The sequence below is a fragment of the Homo sapiens genome, chromosome 8, assembly GCF_000001405.40.
Source record: "Homo sapiens chromosome 8, GRCh38.p14 Primary Assembly".
Taxonomy (NCBI): Eukaryota; Metazoa; Chordata; class Mammalia; order Primates; family Hominidae; genus Homo; species Homo sapiens.
The window spans coordinates 109,245,018-109,272,089 of NC_000008.11; the positions used below are offsets into that span (position 1 = coordinate 109,245,018).

Sequence of the window (27,072 nt, forward strand, 5' to 3'; positions counted from 1 at the left end):
CCAGTATTATATGGCTTACAGAATTAGAAAAAGCAAATGACTTATTAGAATAATTCAAGTGGTTAGATAACCACTTTCATTTCTATTCTGTGTTGATCTTCTGTACAAGCATAAAAACAGATTAGTCTAAATGTTCCAACAGTGCTAACACTCACAACTAGTACAAGCAAACAAATCATAGCGCAAATCAATCTAAATGTAATCAGGACAGCTCAAATTAAAAAGAAAAAAAAGAAATGAACTTTAAATGAATGATGACTGTATTTCTGATTTCATGGAAAATGTCAAAGAGTTTGCTTTATACCTAAAGCATTGAAAGTTGCGATGTGCTCCCACATATCATCTTGTTTGCTGGAGTGTGGTTGCCAGAGTAGGGCATCAACATCATGGCGCAAACAGAAGCAGGGCATTTCTTTAGGATCCACTATGACAGAGAAAAGGTACTGGTTGCTTCCAAGATTCACCTAAAAAGTGATTTAAAAAAAAATTTACTCAACAACAAATTAATAATAGCAACAATAACAATGGCAGAAGCTGACAGCCAGCATTAAGTGTCAGCAACTGTTTTATACTTTTTATATACTTAATCTGATTGACTCCTCATAATATCCCTGAGATAAATGTGCTACTGTTATGTTCATTTCAAAGCTGAGGAAAGTGATGCACAAGGCATTTAGGTAACTTGTCGATGGTCAGCCTGGCCATAAGTCATGGAGCTGAAATTTGGACCCAGAGTCTATGTTCTTAATCACCACGTGATATACCACCTCTTAATTGTTAGTAAATAGTTTAAAACACGATATAAAGCAGGGGTCCCCAGTCACTGAGCCGCAGACTGGTACCAGTCAGTGGCCTTTTAGGAACTGGGCCGCACAGCAAGAGATGAGCAGCAGGCAAGGGAGCATTACTGCCTGAGCTCCACCTCCTGTCAGATCAGCAGTGGAATTAGATTCTCACAGGAGGGTGAACACTATTGTGAAATGCACATGCAAGGGATCTAGGCTGTCTGCCTTATGAGAATCTAACTAATACCTGATGATCTGAGGTGGAACAGTTTCATCCTGAAACCATCCACCAAGCCCCCACAGGCCCATGGAAAAACTGTCTTCCACAAAACTGGTCCCTGGTGCCAAAAAGGTTGGGGACTGCTGATATAAAGCACCAATTTTATAAGCAGACTATTTTTAGGCCATAGAATACACACATGAAGTTTACTAATGCTAACTTGTAATAATTACCAAGAACAATGACACTACCAGAATTTATGAGCACACTCTCATAACATTTATAACCAGGCATGTTATAAATACTAATCTTAACAACTCGCAAGGCTATTATTATCTTCATTTAAGGGATGAAAGAACAGGCTTGGAGAGTTTGAGTAACTTGTTCTAGGCTAAAGAGAAATATCACAATGCTGGAATTCACACTCAGATGTTTAAAACTATTTACTTAAACGTACTGCTTAATTAAAGTATCAATGTCAATATGTCAATAATGTCAACATTTGTTATTGTAACACATCAATAATTGTTACTGCAATATTGATGCCTAAAGAAATGCATTTTAATACAAAATCATCAAATTGAAACTCACTGAATTTCATCTACAGCAATACTTTTTCTAAATGAAGACATGTTGTAAGGATAGTCTTCTTTATGAGAAATGTTATTATCAGAGTTGAAAATACGAAACAGAATACCAACAAAAATCACATCAAATGTAGAAAATATAAAATATGCACAGTACTTATAAATATGTAATTGATTCTAGGAGTTTGCAAGCAGACTGGAGAACCGTAAAAGATTGGGTTAAAGTAAGAAGTGGAGACCTGACCTGAATTCAACAGGGAAAGCTGTGAAGTGGCTCTCCAGCAAGGGGACCTATTATTGGTAAAGCTGTGACAACACAGGCTATTGGTCACAGGAGAATACAGTGTCAGAGCAACCCATCTTCTGCTCCCCAGCAATGCCAGGGAAATAGGGCTTTTTCGTAGAGCCAGTGCTTGCTCTCTACAAAATAAGGGGAGAAGGCCAGCACACAGAGACCACAGACTATTTCTTTTCTCTCCTTACTCCCGATGATCAGTGGCTAGATGAGGTTTATTTTCAAAGTCACCACTACCTAACTGGCCTTTTATTATTATGTTTGACAGACCTAACACTGCTTCAGCTCTCTTCCCTGTACTCCAACTCTGATACTCTATTTTTTTTAACCAAGGGCTTTCACAGAAGAAAAATAAACAACAGCTAAAATAAAATACAAGTTGAAACAATATTTTCACAACAATACATCTACTTTCATGAGCCAAGTGCCTAAAGAATGTATTGAATATTATGAGGATTAATATAATTGAATGATCTCTGGTCCATCCATACTTGAAGAGACAGCAGTGAGAAAAGAATAGAGGACCTTGAACCACGAAGTGAAAGGTGACCACCAAGGGAGATCAATCATGAAAATAAGAGGATAAGAATGAAGGTAGGTGCCTTATTATGAGCCCCTCACTCTGACTTAGATGTTTCTTCACTTCAGCAGCCACTTACCTTACGCATATTTCCATTATGGCGACTGTGTCAAGTGTTGTTAATTGTGAAACTAGCAATTTCATACAGCTTGTCTTTGCCATACCTTTGACATAGCATTCTGTTTGGACTCCTTGTATTTTTTTTACCTGATAGATTCCCACTTATCCTCTAAGACTCAATTCAACCATCAGTTGCTCTCAGAATTCCCCCACTCTCGTGGTTATATGAGCTGCTTGAATTCTGAGAACTCCAGCATCATGTATGTTATTCCTATCAAATTATTTATCATATTATATTAGATTATTAATATTTTTACATACCACCTGTGGCAGGATGAATAACGTCCCCCAAAGATGTCCACATCTAAATCCCTTGGAACCTGTGAATAAGTTACCTTATATAGCAAAAGGGACTTTGTAGATGTGGTTAAGTTTAAGGTCCTGGGATGGAGAGATTATCCTGGAATATGTGGGTAGACTCAATGTATTAAGAAGTATTCTTAGGGAGGGAGGAGGGCCACAGACACAGAAGGTGAGATAACAACAAAATCAAGGGGATAGACAGAGTTTAGAAGATGATATACTGCTGGCTTTGAAGACACAGGATGGGCCCGGCCACAAGCCAAGTAATGGAGGCAGCCTCTAGAAGTTAGAAATGGCAAGGAAATGGATTCTCCCCTAGAGCCTCCAGAATGAATGTAGTCCCTACAAACCACTTTAGGACTTCTGACCTCCCAAATTGTAAGAGAATAAGTCTGTGTTGTTTTCAACCACTACACCTGCAGCAATTCGTTGCAGTAATAACAGCAACCTAACATACCACCCATCTCACAACACTAATTCTTCTTAGGAACTAGAAGTCTGCCCTTTTTTCTCCAAATTGTAAAGAAATTTTTTTAAATGAATGTTATGTAAAAAGTGATTATTTCTGTAATATCTTCACCAAGGCTAATCTATCTTTAGATTTGGGAATTATCTATTTTACAGTTAGAATAATTGGCTGAAGATTCTGTAAGGCAAAAATCTCATAATTAGGTTCTTAACCTAACAAGAGGGTGACTAGGGTCAAGAGCTTCTAGACTTAGTACATAGTTCTCTGTGCCTTTTAGTTCTCACTTCCAGAAATGTTAGTTTCTCAGTAATTTCCCTCTATAGCTTTCCACTGTTTGGAAAAAAAAAAAAAAAAAAGGTCCACATTGCCTTAAATGGCATTTTGAAAGCTTTTCGAAACCTGACCCCAGCATACTTTTCAATATTCACTATTACTTTCCTTAAAATATAACATTTAGCAAAACTGGATCACAATTTGCAAAACTGTCTCCCCTATTTCCCCATTCCTTTATTCATGCTTTTTTTTAACCTGTTGCATATCCTGTCCATTATACACTCTATGCCATATGCAAATGGCATCTTCTCCTCCAAGGAAGTTTTCCCTAATTCTAATAAAAAGAAATTGTGTATTGCAACTAATTATTTATACTTTTCCTATAGAGTTTGTCTCTTCATTTCACTTATATGCTCTTTGAGGGTGATAGCTATGACTTTGGGTAGGATATTTAAACCATTTTATTCCCCTTATAAATATGGTAACTACTACTCACTTCACAATTGTTATGATGAGTAAACAATATATTTCAAAGCTTAGAAAGAACTTAATAAGTGTTCATGTTGATTATTACCTGTCTAGGAAAGCCCTTAATAAGTATTAATGTTAATTATTACCCTTCCAGCATTCTTAAAACATTTTGTTTTGTATATTAATGGCATTTCAAATTTTAAGAATGAGATGAGTAACACTGACAGAAAAGCATAGCAGCTTTCAAGTAATCTTCCCGTAGCTCACAGCTACAGCTCTTATACAATTTTATGTCTCAGAAATGTGTAAATAGCTATAAAAATAACATACACTTATTCTGTCTTAATCCCAGCATATTTGAGACAAATTTCTATACTCTTGTACCATTTCAAAAATGAGAAATACAGAATTCATTGTTCTACTTGTCATTTTGTCATATAAATTCTATTTTTATCAGTGGTTACAAATGTATGCTTATTGCTTTCAATTTTATATATTCCTGTAATGCATATATTCCTCAGTAAATGGATCTGCCCCTGAAAAGGGACAAAGTCATGTTTCAAATAAGATTTGGATTTTTAACATATACTCAAAACCAAGTACCTTAAAGTTTAAAATCCAAAGTAAACAAACTAGTCAATTTTTTGATGGCAGTAACTACATATAATTTACGGAGAGACATAAGAATCCCATTAAAAAATGAGATATATAAAGAATTGTTGAATTCTTTTTTTTTTTTTTTTGAGATGGGGTCTCACTCTGTCACCCAGGCTGGTGTCCAGTGGCACATTCATGGCTCACAGCAGCCTTGACCTCCTGGGCTCAAGCAATCCTCCAACCCCAGCCTCCTGAGTAGCTGGGACGACAAGCACACACTGCCATGCCTGGGGAATTTTTTTATTTTTTGTAGAGATGAGGGGTCTCACTATGTTGCCCAGGCTGGTCTTGAACTCAACTCAAGCAATCCTCCTGCCTCAGCCTCCCAAAGTGCTAGGATTACAGGTGTGAGCCACTGGTGCCTGGCAAGAATTGTTGAATTCTTTACTTCTTTCTGTATGTAGTAAGAGACTATGTGATACTCATTTTACTTATTAAATAAATTCTAGCTTCCCTATTTTTTACTTCAAAACTAAGTATTTCATACAGCTAAATAAAATAAAGATTTTGCCACTGCCAGATGTTTGCTACTTCTTAGGTTGGCCAGATGCCACAAAAGGAAAACAATTCAAAGATTCCAAACTAAGAGTGGATAAAGAAACTGAACATGAGCATTATTTTAAGATAATGCCTAAAAGGTGTTTGGCTTCATTTTTTTCATGGTGGTATTAGAATCTCTTGATAGCTGTTTATGCCTTTCACTATTATTTCCTGCCTCACTGCCTACCTGGGACTCCCAGCATTATGCTTAACAGGAGTAATGCGAGCAGACATCTTGGCCTGTTCCCAGTTGTAGCAGAAGCCTTCAGTCTTTTACCATGAAGTATGGTGTTAACTCTAGGGTTTCTGATGAGGCAGTTTCTTTCAATTCCTAGTTTGCTCAGCATTTTTATCATCAACGAATGGTATTTTTTTTTCATATTCTTTTTCTGCAACTACTAGGATGATCAAATATTTTTCTTTAGTCTGTTGATATGGTGAATTATACTGATTGATGATATTTGAATAACAAAATCAGCTCTGAGTTCCCAGAATAAACCCTACTTGGTCATAATGTAATTTTCCTTTTTACTTATTGATGGATTTCATTTACTAATATTTTGTTAAGAATTTTTGTGTCTGTATTCATGGAGGATACTAGTTTTTTCCTTCCTGTTTTCTCATCTTTTAATGTCTTTGGTATCAGGGTAATGCTAGCCTCATAAAGTAAGTTGGAAAGTGTTCCTTTCTCTTCAACTTTCTAGAAGTTTGTAGAGAATTGGTATTGTTTCTTCATTTGGTAAAATAAACCAGTGAAGCCATCTGCGGCTGGAGATTTCTTTGTTGGAAAGTTTTTAAAAATGAATTTAATCTTCTTCAACAGATATAACTAATAAGGTCTCATCTATTTCTTTTTTTTTTTTTCTTTTTTTTTTGGAGAGAGTCTCGCTCTGTCGCCCAGGCTGGAGTGCAGTGACACAGTCTCGGCTCACTGCAACCTCTGCCTCCCAGGATCAAGCAATTCTCTGCCTCAGTCTCTCGAGTAGCGGGGATTACAGGTACCCACCACCACGCCTGGTTAATTTTTGTATTTTTAGTAGAGACGGGGTTTCACCATCTTGGCCAGGCTGGTCTTGAACTCCTGACTTCGTGATCCACCCGCCTCAGCCTCCTAAAGTGCTGGGATTACAGGCATGAGCCACCGTGTCTGGCCAGGTCTCATCTATTTCTTAAGTGAACTTTAGTAATTTTGCAGCTTAAAAAATTTGTTCCATATAAATTGTCAAATACATGGAAATATAGTTGTGCATAAGACTTCATTGGTTACACTTTAGTGTCTTTAGGATCTCCATTGACATCCTAAGTGCTATTCCTGATGTTGATACTTTGTGTTTTCTTTTTCCTCAGTCTGGCTAGAGACTTACCAATCTTGATCTTTTCAGAGGACTAGCTTTTAGTTTATTAGTTTTCTCTATTATTTCCTTCTTTCAATTTAACTGGTTCCCACTTTTATCCTTACAGTGTTCTTCCTTCTGCTTGCTTTAGATTTAGTTTGCTCTTCTTTTCCTAGTTTCTTAATGTGAAAGCTTAAAGTACTAAATTGGGGCACTTTTTTCTTTTCTAGTATAACATGTAATGCTGTAAATATCCCCCTAAGCTTTAGCTGTATTCCACGTGTGCCATGTTTCATCTTCGTTCAATACAAAATATGTTTTAACTTTCCTTTTGAGTTCCACTATAATTCATAGGTTACTCAGTTTTGCTCGAGTACTTTCCTCAATGGTATTGTTCCATCCCAAGCTTTAGGCCTTCACTGTGCATGTTCACCTCAGAGTCTATGCTCTTGCTTCCTCTCTAGTGGTAGGCTGTGGTTACTTGTTGCTTGATGTGCTTCCTAGCCTGATGGTGAGGGGGATGTGGGTTGGGGAGTCAAGGAAAAGCATTCTCTACTGTCTGGTTCAGCCTCAGTACTCTGTGACCTCAGTTTCAGGTTTTGAGGTTTTTCAGAGATACTGCCCTCCTCCAGTGGTAGGAGACTTCTAATAACCTGGATGATTTTCTGCCCCTCAAGGCATAGAGATGGTGTTTTGAGGTTTTTCTTTATCTTTTCCTCTAGCTGCAATGGGTCTTCTTCTGAACCCTTGGCAAGCTAAGATTTGACACTCTTCCCTCAGCAGCTTAGGCTGCTGATACTTAAAAAAAAACAGTGCAGGCAAGACTTCATACTTTTCCCACAGCAGAGAACACACCCCTTTAATCCAATTCTGAACCAGGACATCTTCTAATGTCCTGCCCTCGCCAAGGTCCATAAAGAAGATCCTTTAAGTGTGAGCAACTTCCCTTGTGTCTGTGAATGCTAGGTGACAGTTACGGGTCACACCACGTCTTTAGCAATCTGTTAGTTGAATCCTTCTTACCCACTTACATGGCAGTCCTCCTGTCTCCCTCCAATGTTCAGGTGAACCAGTGTCCCTATCTCATCTCTTCTTGACATACTTTTCCTTAGATTTTAAGCTGTTGGCTGCCCTGTAAGCTCAGCTTTCTGATGAGTCTTTAAAAAGTTATGATTCCATAAATAATCCAGCATTATTTTATTACAATGGGCGTGACAATCTTTCCAACTTTCTACATTTTAGGCAAAAGCAGGAATTTCCTTGATCACTATTTATTAACTTGCCTAAAAAGCTTAGGATTTCAACTTATAATCAACAGACCAGTGACAATTCAATATCTACAAGAGGTTCCAAATATACAAGTAGCCAACCCATGTACTATAGGAACCCACTTCCCTGGCTTCTGCTAACAGAATCAAGGGTTGGCATCTAATCCAAAGTTAACCGTCTTTAATCTATTGATTTATAAAATGGTTATGATGAAGTGTTTTCTCGAACAGATGCTTCCCATACTGAATGGTGGTTAGCCAAAACAATAAAGTCCTCTTGTTCAGGAAGTTTAAATACCAAAAAATAAACAATTCAAGCTAAGAAGAGAGGCAGAAGACATAGCTAGAGAGTACAGTAAGCAGAAACCATAAGATGTAGAAAGGAAAGGAGTGATCAATAAGTAGAAGTATGCTCAGCAGAAGCAAATACAGAAGATGGCAATGTGATCATAATAGCACAGAACTGACTTAGAGAACAAGTTGATTATCAAGAGGCAAATAGATCGCCTGGTCATCAGAACTTGTGCTATTTTCTAAACAATGTTCCACGTTTCCTTTAGGCCTGACTTGCCAGTGAATTTGTTTCCAAAATGACCTTAGTTATCCATGAGATCTAAAGAGATTGTTTCCACTGTTCCTCACAGGCTCCATATATGCTCACATCATGACTTGAGATAACCAAAGGTTTTCTCTGTTGCCTGCAACCTCTAAAAGTTTAGGTAACAGGATTTCTTCCAAAACGATTGTACTTCCAGTACCATTGTACTTTGCTCTTTCTTCCAAAAGCAAAGTACAATTAAAATTAAAAAGTAAAGTGACTAAAATAACTAGTTTTGCTAAGTGAATTAAAATGAAGTGTGATAAAAAGCACGATTAAAGTATACTTACTGTATAATCCTATAGACACAGAAAATATCAATATGAGAAAAAGAAAAAATATATGAATAACAAAAGGATATTGCATCATAATTTGAAGTGGAAAACAGGGGAAGTAAAACATTATCCATTATCTAGCATGGGCCATTACCTGGAAGAAAAAAGTACAAGATGTTCAGAAGGTTCCTGAGTCAAGAACAGGTGCCACAAAACCCATTTTTCACTAGAGAACTATTTATTCTGACTGTGAACAAAATTCCATCGAGTTTACAACTTGGTAGCCAAGAGCAAAACAGGAAATAAGAAAGAGAAGGACTGTGGCTTTGGGTACATGCACTGCCAGAGGTGAGATGAAGCAGCCAATAGCTTATGAGCAGTGGAAACAAACACAAAAGACATTTTTTTAAATGAAGTAGGCAAAGACTCCCATTTAATTCAAATACCTTTAATGGTAATTACCTAGAAATACAAAGTATGGTAATTAATGTTCATTCTGATGATATGTAACCATCAACAAAATGTTACTTTCTCTTCAGAATGCTTTATGTAAGATGTTGGGCAAATAATACATTTTAGTAAGATTCCAAGGGGGAAAAGAAGGCTTTAAATATTTTTGGTATTTGAATGGAAAAAATTAACTTATTTAGGCAATTTACTCATTTGGAAAATTCATTCCTTGTTAATACCAACTAAATATCTTACTGCATAAAAACCAACTCTAAACTCCATAAATCCTTTGGGCAATAAAATATACTTCCACATTTCTTATCTTATGTTTACTCTAGAAAAGGTTATATTTACCTTTGAATTACCTTTGTAGTCTTTGAATGAAGACTACAATTAGAGTAAAATATTCTCTAGGGAAAATTTGGCATGCATTTCAAATAGTCAATTAATTGTCTTATTCTCTGTAGAACACTTAGCAATTAAAGACTACTGAAGATTAAATGTCAAAGTGAAGACATTTAGACAACTTTTAATCACTTCTAATACCAAATTAAATTTAAAAATAATATTAATAAAAAGGTTTTATCTACTCAGAAGGTATGTATTGGGATGCCAGATTGAAACTTTAATTCCAAATTCATATTCTGTACACAGAATAAATTGTAAAAATTATTTACTGTGTTCTTACTATGCATCAAGTATTTAGCTGATCTGTATTTACTACCTTATTTAACCTTTGCTAACTGAGAATTAAGAATATGATCCCATTTAAAAGAGGAAACTCAAACTTGGTAAGTTCAGAGATTTAAGTCAAGAAGCTAACAACTGGTAGCTAGAATTTAAATTCAGATATATTTCCAAACTCATGTTCTTTACCACCACCTGCATGTTCTCCCAAAGTCCATTTTATAGCGACTATTAACCACCAGAATGTGTCCCTGGCTAGACACTAGTTCAGATACAGTAATTCACATACTATAAATATGCTTATAATCTAGTTTTGTCAGTTAAGTTGTATAGATAAGTTGTTCATCTATTTTGTATATAAAATTGATGTCTAAAAAATATGGAAAAGAAGTAAATCCTGGGTTGCATTTTTTGGTTTGAACACCCATTAAATTACCTATATACTTAAATATCTCTTTACCTTGACTAGAGACTGAAGCATAGGAAGATGTCAGATCTTAGCTAAGTGGTATAAAATACAACTGGTGGAAATGCACTTAAATTTCTACTTTAAAAAGCCACATAACTATTACTTAGAAATATTTTTTAAAACTGATACTTTTTTTTCATTTTTTGAAAATTATCAAATTAGGTCTTAACTATGATGTATCATAACATTTTACTGACTATTCCAGTGGAGGATACATATAAATGTTACCAGATAAAATAAATACACAGATACATATCAGAAAATAGAAAGTTCCACACAGAAAAAAAAAAAAAAGAAAAAAGCACGTGAGAAGATGGATAATGTGGTTATGTTTTAATAGGGGACAAAAGACAACATGAACAGAGGTAAATAAAGAGAATAAGAGGAATAAAGTAAGGAAACAGTGAGAAAAGGTAGAACATTTCAGGCAGAGATAATAACAAATGCAAAGACTCTAAGGGAACAGCATGTTTCAGCAGGTTTGAAGAACAGCATAATGGCCAGTGCAGCTAAAGAAAAGTGAACTAGTTGCCGGGTGCTGTGACTCACACCTGTTATCCCAGCAATTGGGAGGCTGAAGTGGAAAGATTACTTGAAAGTTCAGGAGTCTGATACCTGCTTGGGCAACACAGTGAGATCCCACAACTACAAAAAATCCAAAAATTAGCTAGGCGTGTTGGGATGCACCTGTGGTCCCAGCTACTCAAGAGGCTGGAAGTGGGAAGACTGCTTGATCCTGGGAGGTCTAGGCTGCAGTGAGCATGCACTTCAGCCTTGGTGACAGAGCGATACCCGTCTCAAAACACAAAGCAAAACACAACCCAGAAAACTGAACTAGGAAAAAATGGTGAAAAATAAGATAATCAGGACTGGATGGCAGTGTTCTTTTAAACTATGTCTCCACATTGGTAGCAAAATCAAGTTAGAAGATCAAGAACAGGATTTTCTATTTTATTTCATTAAAATACCACAGAAGAATATTAGAGTACATCTCATACAATAAGGATAGTACTGTTTTGTGAAACTTTTGCATCAGATGTGTGTGTGCATGTGTTGAGTCTCAAACACGTATCACCTACAGTGAGTTGCAGAAACTTGGAAGGTTCTTTGTAGACCATGGTAAGGACACTGAAAATTATTCTAAATGTAACACATAGGAAGCCTACTATAGGGAGAACAGGAATAGAGAAATGACATAATCTACTAAATCCTTTAAAAAGATTACTTTGATCTTCACACAAAGTACTTATTAATTCAAAATGAAAGATAACTTTAGATTACAGAAACCTGCTAGACATCACATAATGAAATATCGCACCACAAGAAAAGGAAAAAATGACACCAAGTTCCTCTTAATGTGATGCACTGCAAGGGAAACATCTTTTATGTAGTATTCCTGGCAAAAAAAAAATGCAACATCTGAACCCGATGAGGATATACAATCTAATTAAAAGATAATCTATAAAAAAAGTACAAAATAAAGTTAAAAATGTTGGTTAACTTGCTATTCCAAATTACAGGAGATTAAAGAGACACCATAACTAAGCACTTAAAAATTCAACACCTCTTCATGATAAAGAAAAAAAAAACTCAGCAAACTAGGTAAACATGACTTCTACTTAAATAAAAACTCTAGAACTAATGTCATATTTAATGGTAAACCACTCAATCTTTCTTCCTAAGATTAGGAACAGGACAAGAATTCCTATTCTCATCACTGATATCTGCATTGCATCTAATATCCTAGCTAGTACAATAAGGTAAGAAAAAGAAATAAAACGTATGCAGATTGGAAAAGAAGAAGTTAAACTGTCTTTATTCACAGATACTACCCTGTACACTGAAATCTTGGAGTATCTACAATAAAGTAACTGGAAAGAGATAATTTATCGAAGTTACAATATAAAGTCAAGTAACACTGTTGCTACATAATACACAAAATAAATTGGGAATTAAAAAATACTAATTATATTAGAATTCCAAAATACAAAATATCGGGATTAAATATAACACTGACAACTTCAAAAGGCTGCTAGGACACATTAAGGAAAACCTAAATAAATGAAGAGACAATGTTTATGGATCAGAAGATTCAATATCATTAAAGTATCAATTCTCCTCAAGTTGACCTGCAGATCCAACACAATTCCAATTAAAAGCCCCATAGCCATTTTTGTGCAAATTAAAAAGCTGATTGTAAAGTTTTTACAAGAACCAAACCTATTTAGGAAAAAAAAATCAAGACTAACACCATCTGAACGGAAACTCCCTGTAACGCGACAGTAATCAAGCCAGTATAGTACTGTCTAAAGAAGGAATCAGCAAACTTAAGGGGTCAGACAGTAAATATTTCAGGCCTAAAGGTCATACAGTCTTTGTTAAAATTATTAAACTCTGTTGTTGTAGTTTGTAAGTAGCCATAGATAGCATATAAATACATGTCTATGACTGAGTTCTAATAAAACTTTATTTATAAAAACAGGTACCTGGCCCACTGAGTCTTGCAGATAATGAATCATTTGTCAAACACATGTATTACAAATTCATTCCCCTCTCTGTAGGTTTTTGTTTTACTCTCATAATGACATATTTTTGAAAAATAGATGTTAATTTTGATCCAATTGATCACTTTCTTTTTTTGGAGTTAGTGTTTTTACATGTCCTAGTCAAGTAATCTTTGCCTAATCCAAGGCCACAAAGATGACTTTGTGTTTCCCTCTAAAAGTTTTATTAGTTTACTTCATGTTTATCATCATAGTTTATTATTTCATATGCAGCCCATCTGTAACTGATTTTTGCATATGGTATGATGTAAAAGTCAAAATAATTTTTTTTCTTACAGATATCTAACAGACCCAGTGCCATTTGTTGAAAAGACCATCCTTTTCCCACTGCACTGCTATGTCACCCTTGTCACAAATAAGGTCATTGTATTCATGTGTCAGGTTTATTATTTATATTACTGTCAAACCCACAAAATGCATAGCAAATGATAATAATAATAAACAAACTGCATTTATTATCAACTATCTATCAATCCCTCCAGCCAGGAACATAGACTTCATCTCATCTAGTGTGTGAGGGGCAGTCTCCCTAGGAAAAGGTTGGCGAAGAAAGAAAAGCTATATTTGATAAAAATTCTTCCAACTGGGATAGTAATTTATGATAGCTGCTAAAAATGGCTTTGCCCTTTAAGATTCTAGAAGGAAAATAATTAAATATCCTAGCTAAAACAACAGCTTCTAGGAAGAGTATATTCCTGGAGAAAGGCTCAGTATATATGAACACAGATTCTAAGAAAAAAAAAGTATCAGTTAAGCATTTCATTACTATCCCAAGGAAAGGACTGAATTCTACTGCACTGAAGGCTTGACACTGTACAGAATTTTAAGAATCAAAAAATATAAGATTTGCAACTAAAAGTATATCTTTTCAGAGGAGAATGAAAGGCAAAAAAGGAATTAAAGACTTCTGCACATAAGTCCATCATAGGTAATAATAATTGGCAACCAATAATTAACAACATTATTCAATATACTCTCACAATCCCGAAAGAAACTAAAATGTCTCCAATAAAACCACACTCATATTGAGGTCAGCATTACTGTGATACCTGAACTTTAAGCTGCTGGGAGACAATTTTCCTAAATACTCACATTTTCTGCATATCTTTGAAGCAGAGGCACTAAATATAAGTCCTTAATTCTCAACTACTATTTCAAGGATGTTTGTAAAGCAAATAACGCAAATAACCTAGGAAGATATAGCATCTCTTTCCAAAGCAAAAGGCAGATTTGTTTAAAGTCCAGTAGAATAATGTTTCTTCTAAACAAAGTACAGGAAGGCTTACTGGCCATCTCCACATTTCCCCGTGGAAACTGAGGATCAGGGAACTGGTCCAAATGCTGATACTCTGGGTTAATGCTATTGCTGTCAGTAATAAACTATCCTTTGTGTCTGACACAGGAGTTTCATGTCTTTTTACCAGCATCTATGAAACTGTGATAGGCTAACTTGTTAGCTTGCAAGTAGGCTAAAAATCTCAGACCCACTGTCATTATGGATAAGAAGATGGAATGCTGACAGAGAAAGGGCTCCCTGGAGGAGAAAAATGAGAGCCTTACAGGTTGATTAACAAGGTTAGAGGTGTGTCTATGGGATTATCTGGTTAATCAGGCAATAAATGCCCTCCACTTCACTGCCTATTAATGAGGAGCTGAAAAGGCAGGTTGAGTACTGGGAAGATGGTTGACAGCTGCCTGAATAATGCCCTGGCTGTTGCTAACTCTCTTCCAGAAGAAAGTATCTTCTCACTGATTTGGTGGTAGTACTTTAATTAAAGCATAATGTGCTTTAATTTCTGTTTTGCTAGAAACTAAATATCACCATCTGTTTTTTAAAGATTTTCATGATAAGTTTCACTTTCTCAAAAACAGGAGCAACACAAATTTACCTTATTTAATAAGTTTCTTCTGGGCAAATCAAGTACTTGCTAATTCATACTTTTAACAGCTTACTATTCAAAAGATTTTTTCATATACTAAAAGTAAACCTCAAAGAGTCACACAGAAGATTAGGACACAATAAAAATATCAAAAAACAGTATGAATATTTACCAGATTTTTATGAGGGCAATAATCTTCTAAGTGCAAGAAGGCAAATATATAAACATTACTCAAATACATAAACACTTAAAGCTGTCATTAAAGTGAGAAAAAATAAGCAATATTAACCAAAAACAGCCAAAGGGAAATGTCTGCAACAATTATGACCCAAAATCAAATCATATGCTATTTTTTCCTTTTATTCGAGAGAAGGTCTCACTCTGTTGTAGGTTGCCTAGGCTGGAGTGTAGGCACCATTATAGCTCACTGGAACTTCCAACTCTTGGGCTCAAGAGATCTTCGGGCCTCAGGCCCCTGAGTAGCTAGGACTAGATGTGTGCACCACCACACCTGGCAAATTTTTTTGTATACACAAGAGGTGGGGGTGGAGTCTCGCTATGTTGCCTAGGCTGGTCCTGACCTCCTGGCCTCAAGTGATCCTCCAGCCTTGGCTCCCTAAAGTCTGGGATTATCGGCATGAGCCACTGCGCCTGGCCCATATGCTAGTCAAAAAGCTAAAAAATAGATAATAGGTACAACAGGAGCAAACAGAATTTAAAACAAGCATACAGAAATCAAATGCAATATGAGCCAAAGAAACTCAATGTATAATTCACATATCTCAGATATCAATTCATAACCATTAAGATGGAAATAGTATTAAGTAGTATTGCTACGCATACACACATGCACACGTCTCTTTGAGACTCTATACTCTGGCCTTGCCAGATTTGTGCTGATTCTGAATCTCAAAAGAACCATCATCTCTGGGATATCACATAAATTGCAATATTTGCTTGATACAACTCTCTTTCCTCACTTTCCTACACTATAATTATTGTTATAAATATTTATTTACATGCTTGTTCCCCACATGACTGTATGTTTTAAAAGTAGAGACTGTCTTGATTACCAACAAGTCTTCGAAATTGAATGTAAGCACCATATACATTTATTTGCTCAATGTTGGCATGGTTACATTAAAAGTGGTGACAGGTAACTTCTGCAATATTTGTAGAACACTTTAATCCAAGGCCAAGACTCTAAGATAATTTAAGAAATACATGTAGGGGGGTATTTTAAATGATTATATTTGTAATTTTTAAAAATCTAGGGGAAACATATTCATTAGATAACTGATTAAATTATAGTATAAGCCTATATGACAGCATGCAATATATTAGTATAAAATGCTCATGGCAATATTAATTTTTAAAACAGTAGGCTACAAATTGAACCTACAGTATTGTTATAGACATAAAAATTACACAAGGACTACAAGGTGAAAGTTTCAAAAAGGTTAACATTAGCACTGCTAGGTCAAGAAAATGAAAAATCCACACTAGAATGAATAAATTACATATATATACATGATGAAAACTATGTAAGAGTCAAAACGAATGAAACTCAACTATACATGACAATGTGGTTGACTCTCACAAACTTAAAGAAAAAAAGTCACAAAAGAATACTCCAGATTATGATTCCATTCATAGAGTTCAAGAACATGAAATTAACCTATTATTAAGAGGTAAATGTGATAAGGGCTGTTAAACATATAAGTAATAAATACTAACAATGAAATATTAGACATTTAGGACTGCTTTCTTGGGCAAGAGGAAAAAGGCGTAAGGAGATATAAGTAGTTAAGAGATGAGATCTAGAAAACATAAAACACAAAAACATTGATTCATTGTTTATTTTCATTTACATTAATGCTATTTAAACAATATATATTTTTAATAAAAGACTTCTACTTAAACTTTATTAAAATGATGACTTCATACCATCATAATTTGCCCGGTTTAATTATTTTTCTAAATGTAAATTTTCTTCAAGTAGGACTCATAGGCCCTCAGGACTCACAGGGCCTCACTATGTACTAGTAAGGGCTAGTACACACCATAAAGAAGTATAATATATACCTATACATACACATCTGTACTAGTACACATACACACACAGGTATGGAGCACTGCATTACATGGTGTTATGAACAGCAATTACTGTTGCAACAAAAAAAAACGTCTTTCAGTTATCAAACTACAAGGGCAAGAAAAGACTACTCACTTCAGCCACTCTCTATGGGCTAAAGGAATCTACCAAGAAAAAGAAAATTTAAATACTTGTATATGTGGTTTTACTTCGTATTGTTTTAAGTTAATTCTACATTTCTCTTTAACTTCTGTATGTTTTGAAAGCGGAGATACTGACTGCTCTTTACTCTCTAATACCTTTCCAAATGTTAATGCCCCCAGTGGACAGACAAAATGGACTCCCATGGCTGAAGTGCTCAAAGTTAAAACAGAAGCAGGCAGCCAAGGCTGGGTGAGGAAGTGGTCACCTATTGTGTTCTCAGAAAGCTGTTGTAAAAGTATGACAGGACTTCCTTTTCTACAGCCAAGTCAAACCAGTTCCTATTGTTGGTGCCAAAATAAACAGCAGCCAGAATCCCCTCACCCATCACTCACCATTTGAAAGAAACACTTGACAGAGACTTCTGGTTTTATGCTTGAAAACCAACCAGTCAGAGCTCACCTGCCCTGGTCAATCAGGGCTCAGCTGTGGTTATTCAGCTCAAACTATGGTTATTCAGAATTGGGTATTTGGCAAACATTCTTCCAAAGTAAATCAATCAATCATGGCTCAACTATATTGACCAAGGGGCTCAGCTGTGCTGATCGATCAGAACTAAGCTGTAATTCATTCATTTGCATAAACGGATCTGCTTGGGAACCTGGGCAGGAACTGTTGCTATAAAACCTGAATGTGGCCGGGTGTGGTAGCTCACGCCCGTAATCCTAGCACTTTGGGAGACCAAGGTGGGTGAATAACGAGGTCATGAGTTTGGGACCAGCCTGGCCAACATGGTGAAACCTTGTCCCTACTAAAAATATAAAAAATTAGCTGGGTCTAATGGCGGGCACCTGTAATCCCAGCTACTCAGGAGGCTGAGGCAGGAGAATCGCTTGAACCTGGGAGGCAAAGGTTGCAGTGAGCCGAGATCGTGCCAATGCAGTCCAGCTCGGGGGACAGAGTGAGACTCTGTCTCAAAAAAAAAAAAAAAAAAAAAAAAACCCTGAACCCTCTCTTTGTTCTCTAGAACGCACCTTCATTTTACACTGAAGGCTGCCTAAGGCTACATCTCCTCAGTCTGTAAACTGTTCACTGGAATAAAGTCTCTTTCCTCCAAATTCCTTCTCAAAGAACTTTGTTCACACAGGGATGTTTGCATAATGAACAACCTTAGAAGATAGAGTGCCTCCCTCCAGTACTATGGGCAAAATGTTTATGACAACAAGCAGTTAGACATGCTAACTGATCATTATAGCAGATTCAAGTTCCCTAAGCTCAAGTTTTCTCTCCTGTAATACAGCCTATTGATGTAGGTGGGAATCCATCTGGACCCATCTGTTTTGCCCAGTGGGAATTTTAGACTTGAGAAATTGGCACAAATATGCTAATGCTTATGCTGTTTACTGTGCAAATAAAGACTCCAATCCAGTAATTTCCTGTCTCCTACCAGAATCCATTAAACTGGCAGGTTAACTTGTTAGCCTGTAAATGGGGTAAAATCTCAGAACCTTCACAGTTCTTGACGTAACTATTATTCTGTAACTTTCTAAGAATTAGTGCTGTTACTGTGTGAGTGGCATATACACACAATCTCTGCTTTAGCCACTCTCAAAGTATGATATGCAGAACCCTATTGGGTTGGGGAGGGGGGTGCTGGGAGACATCTTCAGGGGGTCCATAGGCTTAAAACTATTTTCATAGTAATACTAGGATGTAAATTGCTTTCTCCCTATTTTTAAATTTGTATGGATGGTACAAAAGGAAAAGTAGGTAAAACTGGAGTGATAGCATAAATTACTGCAAATAATAGCACCACATACTAGTAATTACTTGAAGTTGCTACATTCTTCACTGCCACGTACTCACTGTAAAGAAAAGGCCAGTTTCACTTTAAAATGTCCTTGAGAAAGAAGTCAAAATGATTAATTTTATTAAATCTTGACTCTTGAGTATATGTCTTTTTAGTATTCTGCATGACTAAATAGGAAGTACACATAAAGCACTTCTGCTGCATACTAAAGTACCATGGTTGTACTTGGGAAGCACTTGGGAATCGTTTGAGTTGCAAACACTGAAATGGCTGTTTTTTCATGGAACATCATTTTTACCTGAAACAACAGTCGACAAACTATGGTTATTCTGAATTGAGATTTGGCAAACATTTTTCCAAAGTAAATGACCAAAGTCTGTCACTTCAAGGAGAACACCCAAAAGTATTTGTTGCCAAAGATAAAATTTCAGCTTTTGAACAAAACTTAGAATTTTGAAGAACTCATATTTATCACCATGAGGATAATAGCCTGCCAATCCTTAAACACTTTTCTGGTGAGATTAGTGGTATATTAACAAATGCTTATGTGTGTATCGGTTTATATTGAATAATGAAATAGATTAGCATTTGGAAAGTCTGCATAACTCTGAGAAGCAATATTTCCAAGTTATCGTCATGGGTAAAAACATCCATTCAAAGTGTCTCAAAAACCAACTGATTTTAAAGTAACAGAGCATGAAAAGTTTACATTGCAACTAATATTTAAGAAATGGGCATGTCAAATTTTGGTGTAATATCAAAGGAAAAAACTCACCATTAACTGCAAATGATAATTAAGTATCCCTTTCTTTCCAGTTATATATCTATAGGAATCTGAATATATTTCAACTACAGTATCATATTGCAAGAGATTGAATGCAGAAGCAGATATAAGGATTCAACTATATTAATGCAGACATTAGAGAGATCTGCAAAAATGTAAAACAATGACATTCCTCCTACTTTTTTTTTTTTTACTCTGGAAAAGATCCCAATTTTCATTAGAAAATATTATTTATGTTAATAGGTTATTATTTTAAAATGAATATTTAAAAAAATTCTTAATTTCTAATATGATACGTTTTGATAAATATAATCCAAATATAAAAATTAAGTACACCAAAAAGCTTAAGGAGGTAAAGACAGGCAAAGTAAACCCATTGGGTGGTTAAAAGGCTTGCTAAGAATACTAATTATTCAGTGAAACATAATTGCAAGGATAATGTTTAACCTAATTAAAAAATAAATCTCAAATCTTCTAACATTAATTTTAATTACAAATGAATTGTTAGTAATTAAACAATTTTGTTTCGTAAAAATGCCGTTTACATGAAATTACTTGATTATTCATTACTTTGAATGACTTTTTGTAATGGATAATTCTGTTTTTTATAATAATTTAAATTTTTCATTTCCAAATAGTTTAATAAAATATGGAGGGAAAAAAAAAGAATGTAAAGGGGTCCTGAGACCAAAAACCACTGGTTTAGATACCTTTTAAATGTTTTTTAAACTATTATAACTATTTACACTATTATAAATGCTCTAATAACTTCTGATCCTATCCTTAATATCCTCTTGAAAGGATTAACAATGTACAGCACTTGCCTTTCCTACTTCCTTTCATAATGACATTAACTTAAAAGAATTATTTTCTGTTTGTAACTCTTCCTCCTGTCTTGATGAGTTTATTTAAAAGTTACAAATATTATTTCAGGTGTTTCAATTTTATATCTTAAGCCAGTGGTCCCCAACTTTTTTGGCACCAAGGACACATTTCATGGAAGACAATCTTTTCACGGACAAAGGCAGGGGTGTGTGGGGGTTCCAGGATGAAACCTCAGATTATCAGGCATTAGTCTCATAAGGAGTGCATAATCTAGATCCCTTGCATGCACAGTTCACAATAACGCCATTTTGAGACTCTAAGACTGCTGCTCATCTGACAGGATGCGGAGCTCACCCACTGCTCACCTCCTGCTGTGCGACCAGGTTCTTAACAGGCCAGGGACCTGTAAGGTCTGTGGCCCAGGGGATTGGGGACCCCTGTCTTAAGCAACAGATGAATATCATCTGATCTAAGAAATTCACCATAATCTAATACTTAAAAATATCCTTTCACCTTCTGGTCATTCAAGTCTATATAATTTGATTAATACAGATCAGTGTTGTCCAACAGAAATAAAATGGGAGCCACATACATAATTTTAAATTATCTAGTAGCCATATTTAAGCATTAAAAGAAACTGGATAAATTAACTTTAATAACATTTTATTAAATGAAACATATCCAAATGATTATCATTTCAACATGAAAATTGATATAAAAATTTATTAGTAATAATTTTTTTTTTTGAGACGGAGTCTCGCTGTGTCACCCAGGCCGGAGTGCAGTGGCGCGATCTCGGCTCACTGCAAGCTCCGCCTCCCAGGTTCACACCATTTTCCTGCCTCAGCCTCCCAAGTAGCTGGGACTACAGGTGCCTGCCACCATGCCCGGCTAATTTTTTTTTTTTTTTTTTTTTTTTCGTATTTTCAGTAGAGATGGGGTTTCACTGTGTTAGCCAGGATGGTCTCGATTTCCTGACCTCGTGATCCGCCCACCTCGGCCTCCCAAAGTGCTGGGATTACAGGTGTGAGCCACCTCGCCCGGCTATTTGTAATATTTTATGTTTTATGTATTTCATGTTTTCAAAATCTGGTTGTGTATTTTATATTTATACCACATTTCAATGCAGACTAGCCACATTTCAATTGCTCAATAGTCACCATATGGCCAGAGGCTAACATTTTGACAGCATAGCTCTTAGAAGTAAAAATAATTCATCTTCAATTCTATCTGAATTCTGATTTGTGCTTTACACTTCAGTGACCAATTTAATATTTCAGAGAAATATTAAATATTCAGTTCTGATATTTAATATTTCTTTTATTGTGCTGCTTCATTTATTTATTTAACATTTTATTTTCAAAATGGCAATTCTAACCCTAATGTCCATGTCTTTAAAGGAAACATATTTTGGGATATTTGTCATTTAAAACATAGAGTTCTGACCTTTTCATTACAGTATTATTTTCTAAAACTCTAAGGACATATACTAACCTTCCCATGTAAGGTAATTTCAAATTTCAAACATTGTATGAGTATCCATTCTACATATACGTTTATGCATTTTTACTTCACTGCATTTTTGTCTATATTTATAAAAATTAGTAATAGAAAAATCAAAACGCTTATAATTTTTAAATTTTATGTTCAGGGGTACTTGTGCAAGTTTGCTACATAGGTAAATTGCATGTCATGGGGGTTTGGTGCACAGATTATTTCGCCAACCAGGTAATAAGCATAGTTCCCGACAGGTAGTTTTTCAATCCTCACCCTCCTCCCTCCCTCCACCCTCAAGTAGGCTCTGGTGTCTGTTGTTTTTATTTGTGTGTCCATATGTACTCAGTATTTAGGATCTCACACGAGTCAGAATGGCCATTATTAAAAAGTAAAAAAATAACAGATGCTGGTGACATTGGGGAGAAAAGAGAATGCTTATACACTGCTAATAGGAATGTAAATTAGTTAGCTATTGTGGAAAGTAGTTTGGAGATTTCTCAAAGAACTCAAAGCAGAATTATCGTCTGACCCAGCAATCCCATGACTGTATATATATCCAAAGAAATAAAAATTGTTCTACCATAAAGGGCTTATAATCATAAAAAGAAAGTTTGGTTTAAAATCCAACTGAAACAAAGATAAGAATCTTTAGTTTTAATTATACACTAATTGAAGTTAAACCAGCAATTAAACTCTGAAATGTGATTAAATAGTTAAAACAGTATGTACAAAATACTGGAAATGTCTCATCAAATATTGTCTATAAAAGCTATGGTACAGTGAAGGATTATTTGTTTATTTCTTAAGTTACTGAGGATAGAACCTGCTTACCACAGAAATCTATTGTTCACACTCTTAGGAACACAGAAGACTAACTGTATTTATTCAGAAGTAAGTACTAACTGCAGTAGCTTAGTAACTCCAAATAGAAATTTATGATCCTGTTGTTTAGGGAAAATTATGGAAAGCATACTGGCAGCCCGAGAGATCTAGTTTCTACTACTGACTCTCGCTTTGATCCCATATAAACTCCATCTATCTCAGCTTGTCTTAATAAATCTGTAAAATGAAGAAGATGAAATATGGAATTTCTTTGAAGCTGGAAAGATTGTCCCTTTTTATTATATATTGGACTTCTTCCCCACTCTTGATGTTTCCATCTACGACACTGAGAAGATCCACTGCTATAACATTCTAGCTTTTATAAATTCCTGAGGAGTGAAGTCACATTTGATTGGTAAATGTAAGAAAAATCGGTGTATTTTGCTCAGTTCTATCACTTTTTCCTATAAGGAGCTAGAGGCCTCAGGAAAGAAGAGGTTTCAGCTGCCCCTCTAGGGGCAGCCAGAGCTGATGTAACATTGCCTGTGACTATAGTTAAATCTGCTAAATTCTAGGACTTAGTAAGCAGATCCACTAAGCTTTGGTACTGTAATGTATCAGTAATAATGGTTTTATTTTGCCATTGCTTGGTTTTAATTAACATGCTCAAACATAGGAAATGAAGAAAGGTATCATAAACTGGGGGTATCTTAGTGACCAACATTAAACTACTGATCAACAATACTTAGGAGTACTAAGATGAACTGAAATTCTCAGGGAAGCTACGTTTAAACCACAGCATTTTATGACACCTAAGATATAGCTGCCTTCAAAAGTTTGGCAGAAAACAGTATCTAAGAGTTATAGCACCTAAAACTATAACGTTAAGAAGAACAACCAGATTCTTCATTATTAGAACAAATAATCTCCAGTTAAGTCAGATTCAACAGCCTTCTATCAGTCACGCCTGCAACTGGTTCTCTAAAATTTAACCCAAGGTAATAAAAAGAAGAGCAGCTATGTGATAGCTCTTATTTATCACAATTCAGGGAATCATGTATGGGATTATGTCAAAACTAAACAACATCTAGGAAGTAAAACTCCTAAAAAATCAAAACAGCTCCAATAATCTTGGGTTTTGACCAGTACCCAGCCTGGATATAATAATCTGATTAAGAATACTGCTTACTCTTCAATTAGAAGAGTAATTGAAGAGGAAGCGGGAAAATGAAAGATATTCATTTCTTGAGATCCAAGATGGACCTAAAACCATTTTTTTAATTTAATGACTGTCACTAAAAGATAATTCTAAAGAAATATATTAAGCATCTATTATGAATCAGAACATTTGGTAGGTGTTGAGGACACTGGTAAAATGTCATACATGTGCTTTTTAGAACTTACTGGTGTTAAAGTGTGGTGAACAAGAGAGCATTGAAGAGATAGAAATTAATTGTAAAAGCAAATATTTAATTTTGATACAGTTTCAAATGGTACTTCTGCCTAGCCATTGGTCCTATGCCATTCCACCTCATTTATCTACACTGGTGTAATCTAGAAATGCTCATTTTACTTCTTTGAGTACTAATTAATGTTCAGCCATTAAATAAAGCTGGTAAGTATCCAAAAAGACTAGGAAGGGATAGCGAGTGAGAAGAACAGTTATATTTCCTTTTAGTCAGTAAAATGTTGGGCCAGAACTCAGACCTGGTAAGCCAGCTTCCCATGACACTTTTAACTTCGGTTACATGAATTCTGCTAGAATACACTTTCCCCCAAATCTCTACGTGACAAAGAAACATCAGGGCACACTTGGCAGACATTTTTCAGGTTTTTCTTGAAAACAGAACCTTTGAAACCTGTATCAAAGACTCACAAGTCTAAAAACAGAAACAAAAGACCAAGTTGTTCTCAATCTCCTCTGTTGCTTTTGCTTGGAATGAGTCTCCTAAATTTCCTTCTGGTTTCAGTAATAACACTAGATTAATTTCTATATGCACAGCTCTAAATTAGCCACTGATTTGCTGAGACACCCTGCTCACATAAACAACTCTATGAAACACATTTAGTAGTATTAACTAATGGTTAAGGATTCCCCTAAGAAGGAATATCTAATAAGGTTCTAAATTAAAAAAAAAAAAAAAAAAATCTACATCTACTGCACCAAGCCACTCCAGGCAGTCTTCTTCAGTATCTTAATACAAATCTGTCAAAGCTTGTAAAAAGAGTGTAATTTTGAGGTGGCGGGGGCGGGGGGGGGGGGGGGTGCCTTAAGGTGGGGTGTGAAATATATGCATATATGGCACACCAGAGAGAAAAGGAAAAACAAATTCCAGATGAATTAATGAGCTGAATAAAAAACATTCCAAAATATAAAAAGAAGAAAAAAATTAACTCACTTGATATAGAAGCATTATTCAAATTTAAAACACATCATACAAATTGGTAAGAAACACTAAGACAAATAAAAACTTCACAAAAGAAATAGTTATTACATAAAATAACTTGACAGTAAAAAAAAAAAAGATTGGCACAAGTTTATTCTACACACCAATTAATAATGATCAAACAAAAGTGAAGGTGAAGATGCAGTGAATCAGGCAATAACTGCAATCATTACTAATAAAAATATAAGTGGTAATCAATTTGTCAGAGGCTTATGATTCATTAATTTGAATTCTGTAACTCGTTATTAGATAAATATCCCTGGAAATAGAAAAGGCTTCATATGACAGAGATTTTTAAAAATAGCATCATCATAAATAATGTACTTTAAAAAAGTTATTACTTATTGTAATGTGTAGAACCACTACATGCAGACATGACCAACATCATAGCATAATCCAACCATTAAACCAGACATTTCAATAACATGAGGAAACACTTAAGTCCATACTGTTGAATGAAAAAAAAAAAGTGAAGTTATTATACATTACAGGGTCACAATTGTATATTAAAAAGCTGTCCAGAAAAGCACCACTTGAAAGATATCAATATACAGTGGTACCAAAACTATACAACACTGTTTTGCTGAGTGTGGTAGTATGAAAAGATGCTACTTTATGGAGTGATGAGACTTATCAAAGCCAGTAACTGCTAATCAAGTATCTTTGAAAAACATATTTAGACCAATCATTATCTGAGTAACTACTGACAAAATTTTAGAAATATTAATATCAGTAACTTACCACATGAGTAGTTTTTAATGTATTGCCATCAAATCTGCATAAACTGGAGCTCTCTTCAAAGAAAATATCACATTCTTCTAACTCTTGAGCATTGCAAGGTGGTTTTTCTTTATCTGGATTTGGATTCTTAGTCCAGAAAATAAAATAAGTAAATAAGTAAAACAAATAAACAAGGGAATGGGTTTCTTCATCTTTAAAAATTTTAAGGTTACAGCAGTAATTAAAAATGAATTGCAAACCTATGACCAATAAAATCATAATCACAAAAACAGAAATAACAGAATGATGAAGTCAACAGAAAAGGATATGAAAACAGGTATTATAAACAGTTCCATATACTCAAAGATGTAAAGGAAAACATAACCATGTTGAGAAAGAGAGAGATGAAAGAACCACACTGAACTTCTGGATATAAAAACACAAATCTGAAATGAAAAACAAAACAGATGTGACAGACAGCTGATTAGACACTGCAGGAGAAAAGACCAGCGAGCTTGAAAAATAGCAATAGTGACTACAAAATGAAGCACAAAGACAAAACATAAAAGCAGGGAAACTCAGTGACCTGTGGAACAATATCAAATGGTCTAGCATATGGGTAACTGGAGGAGGGCAAGAAGAATGGGGAAAAAAATTGCAAATAAGTAATGGCCAACACTTTAGAATGTCAAAGAACTCCAAGCACAACAAACATTTTCTTTAAAAAATCAAAAACCACAGTAAGTCACATTATAATTAAATTTCTGAAAAGCAGAAATAAAGAAATTCCTAAAAGCAGACAGAGGAGGAAAAGATACATTATTTACAGAGGAACAAAGATGTAAAAGACAGCTGACTTCTCATCAGAAACTATGTAGGCCGGAATACAATGGTGGATATTTGAAGGTGTAAGAGAAAAAAACAAAAACAAAAACCTGTCAACACCAAATTATATACATAACAAAAATAACTTTGGAAAAGGGAAGAAAAGAGAAATATTTTTGCAGAAAAAAGCTGAGAGAATTTATCACCAGCAAATCTACACTAGAAAAAATGCTAAAAGAAGCTCTCAAGCCAGAAAAAAATAACATCAGATGAAAATGTCA

At 35.1% G+C, this 27,072-nt stretch overlaps 1 protein-coding gene across 3 annotated transcripts in view, besides 1 other annotated feature; it reads right to left on the minus strand.

Moving 5' to 3' along the window:
* The window catches only part of NUDCD1 (NudC domain containing 1), a 93,169-nt gene that overhangs the window by 4,099 nt on the left and 61,998 nt on the right, over positions 1–27,072 (minus strand). For all 3 annotated transcript variants that reach the window (NM_032869.4, NM_001128211.2, XM_047422330.1), the window contains exons 8-9: positions 25,988–26,113; positions 305–464 (exon numbers count right to left, since the gene is read on the minus strand). In NM_032869.4, coding sequence (NP_116258.2) covers positions 305–464; positions 25,988–26,113 — 286 coding nt within the window. The remainder of the gene's footprint in view (positions 1–304; positions 465–25,987; positions 26,114–27,072) is intronic.
* Positions 17,721–18,356: an enhancer, noted in NCBI's record as "NANOG-H3K27ac hESC enhancer chr8:110274967-110275602 (GRCh37/hg19 assembly coordinates)". NCBI's record gives its function as "activates a minimal SCP1, AML or CMV promoter by ChIP-STARR-seq in primed H9 embryonic stem cells {active_cell/tissue: H9 hESC(primed)}" and the evidence as "EXISTENCE:reporter gene assay evidence [ECO:0000049][PMID:30033119]".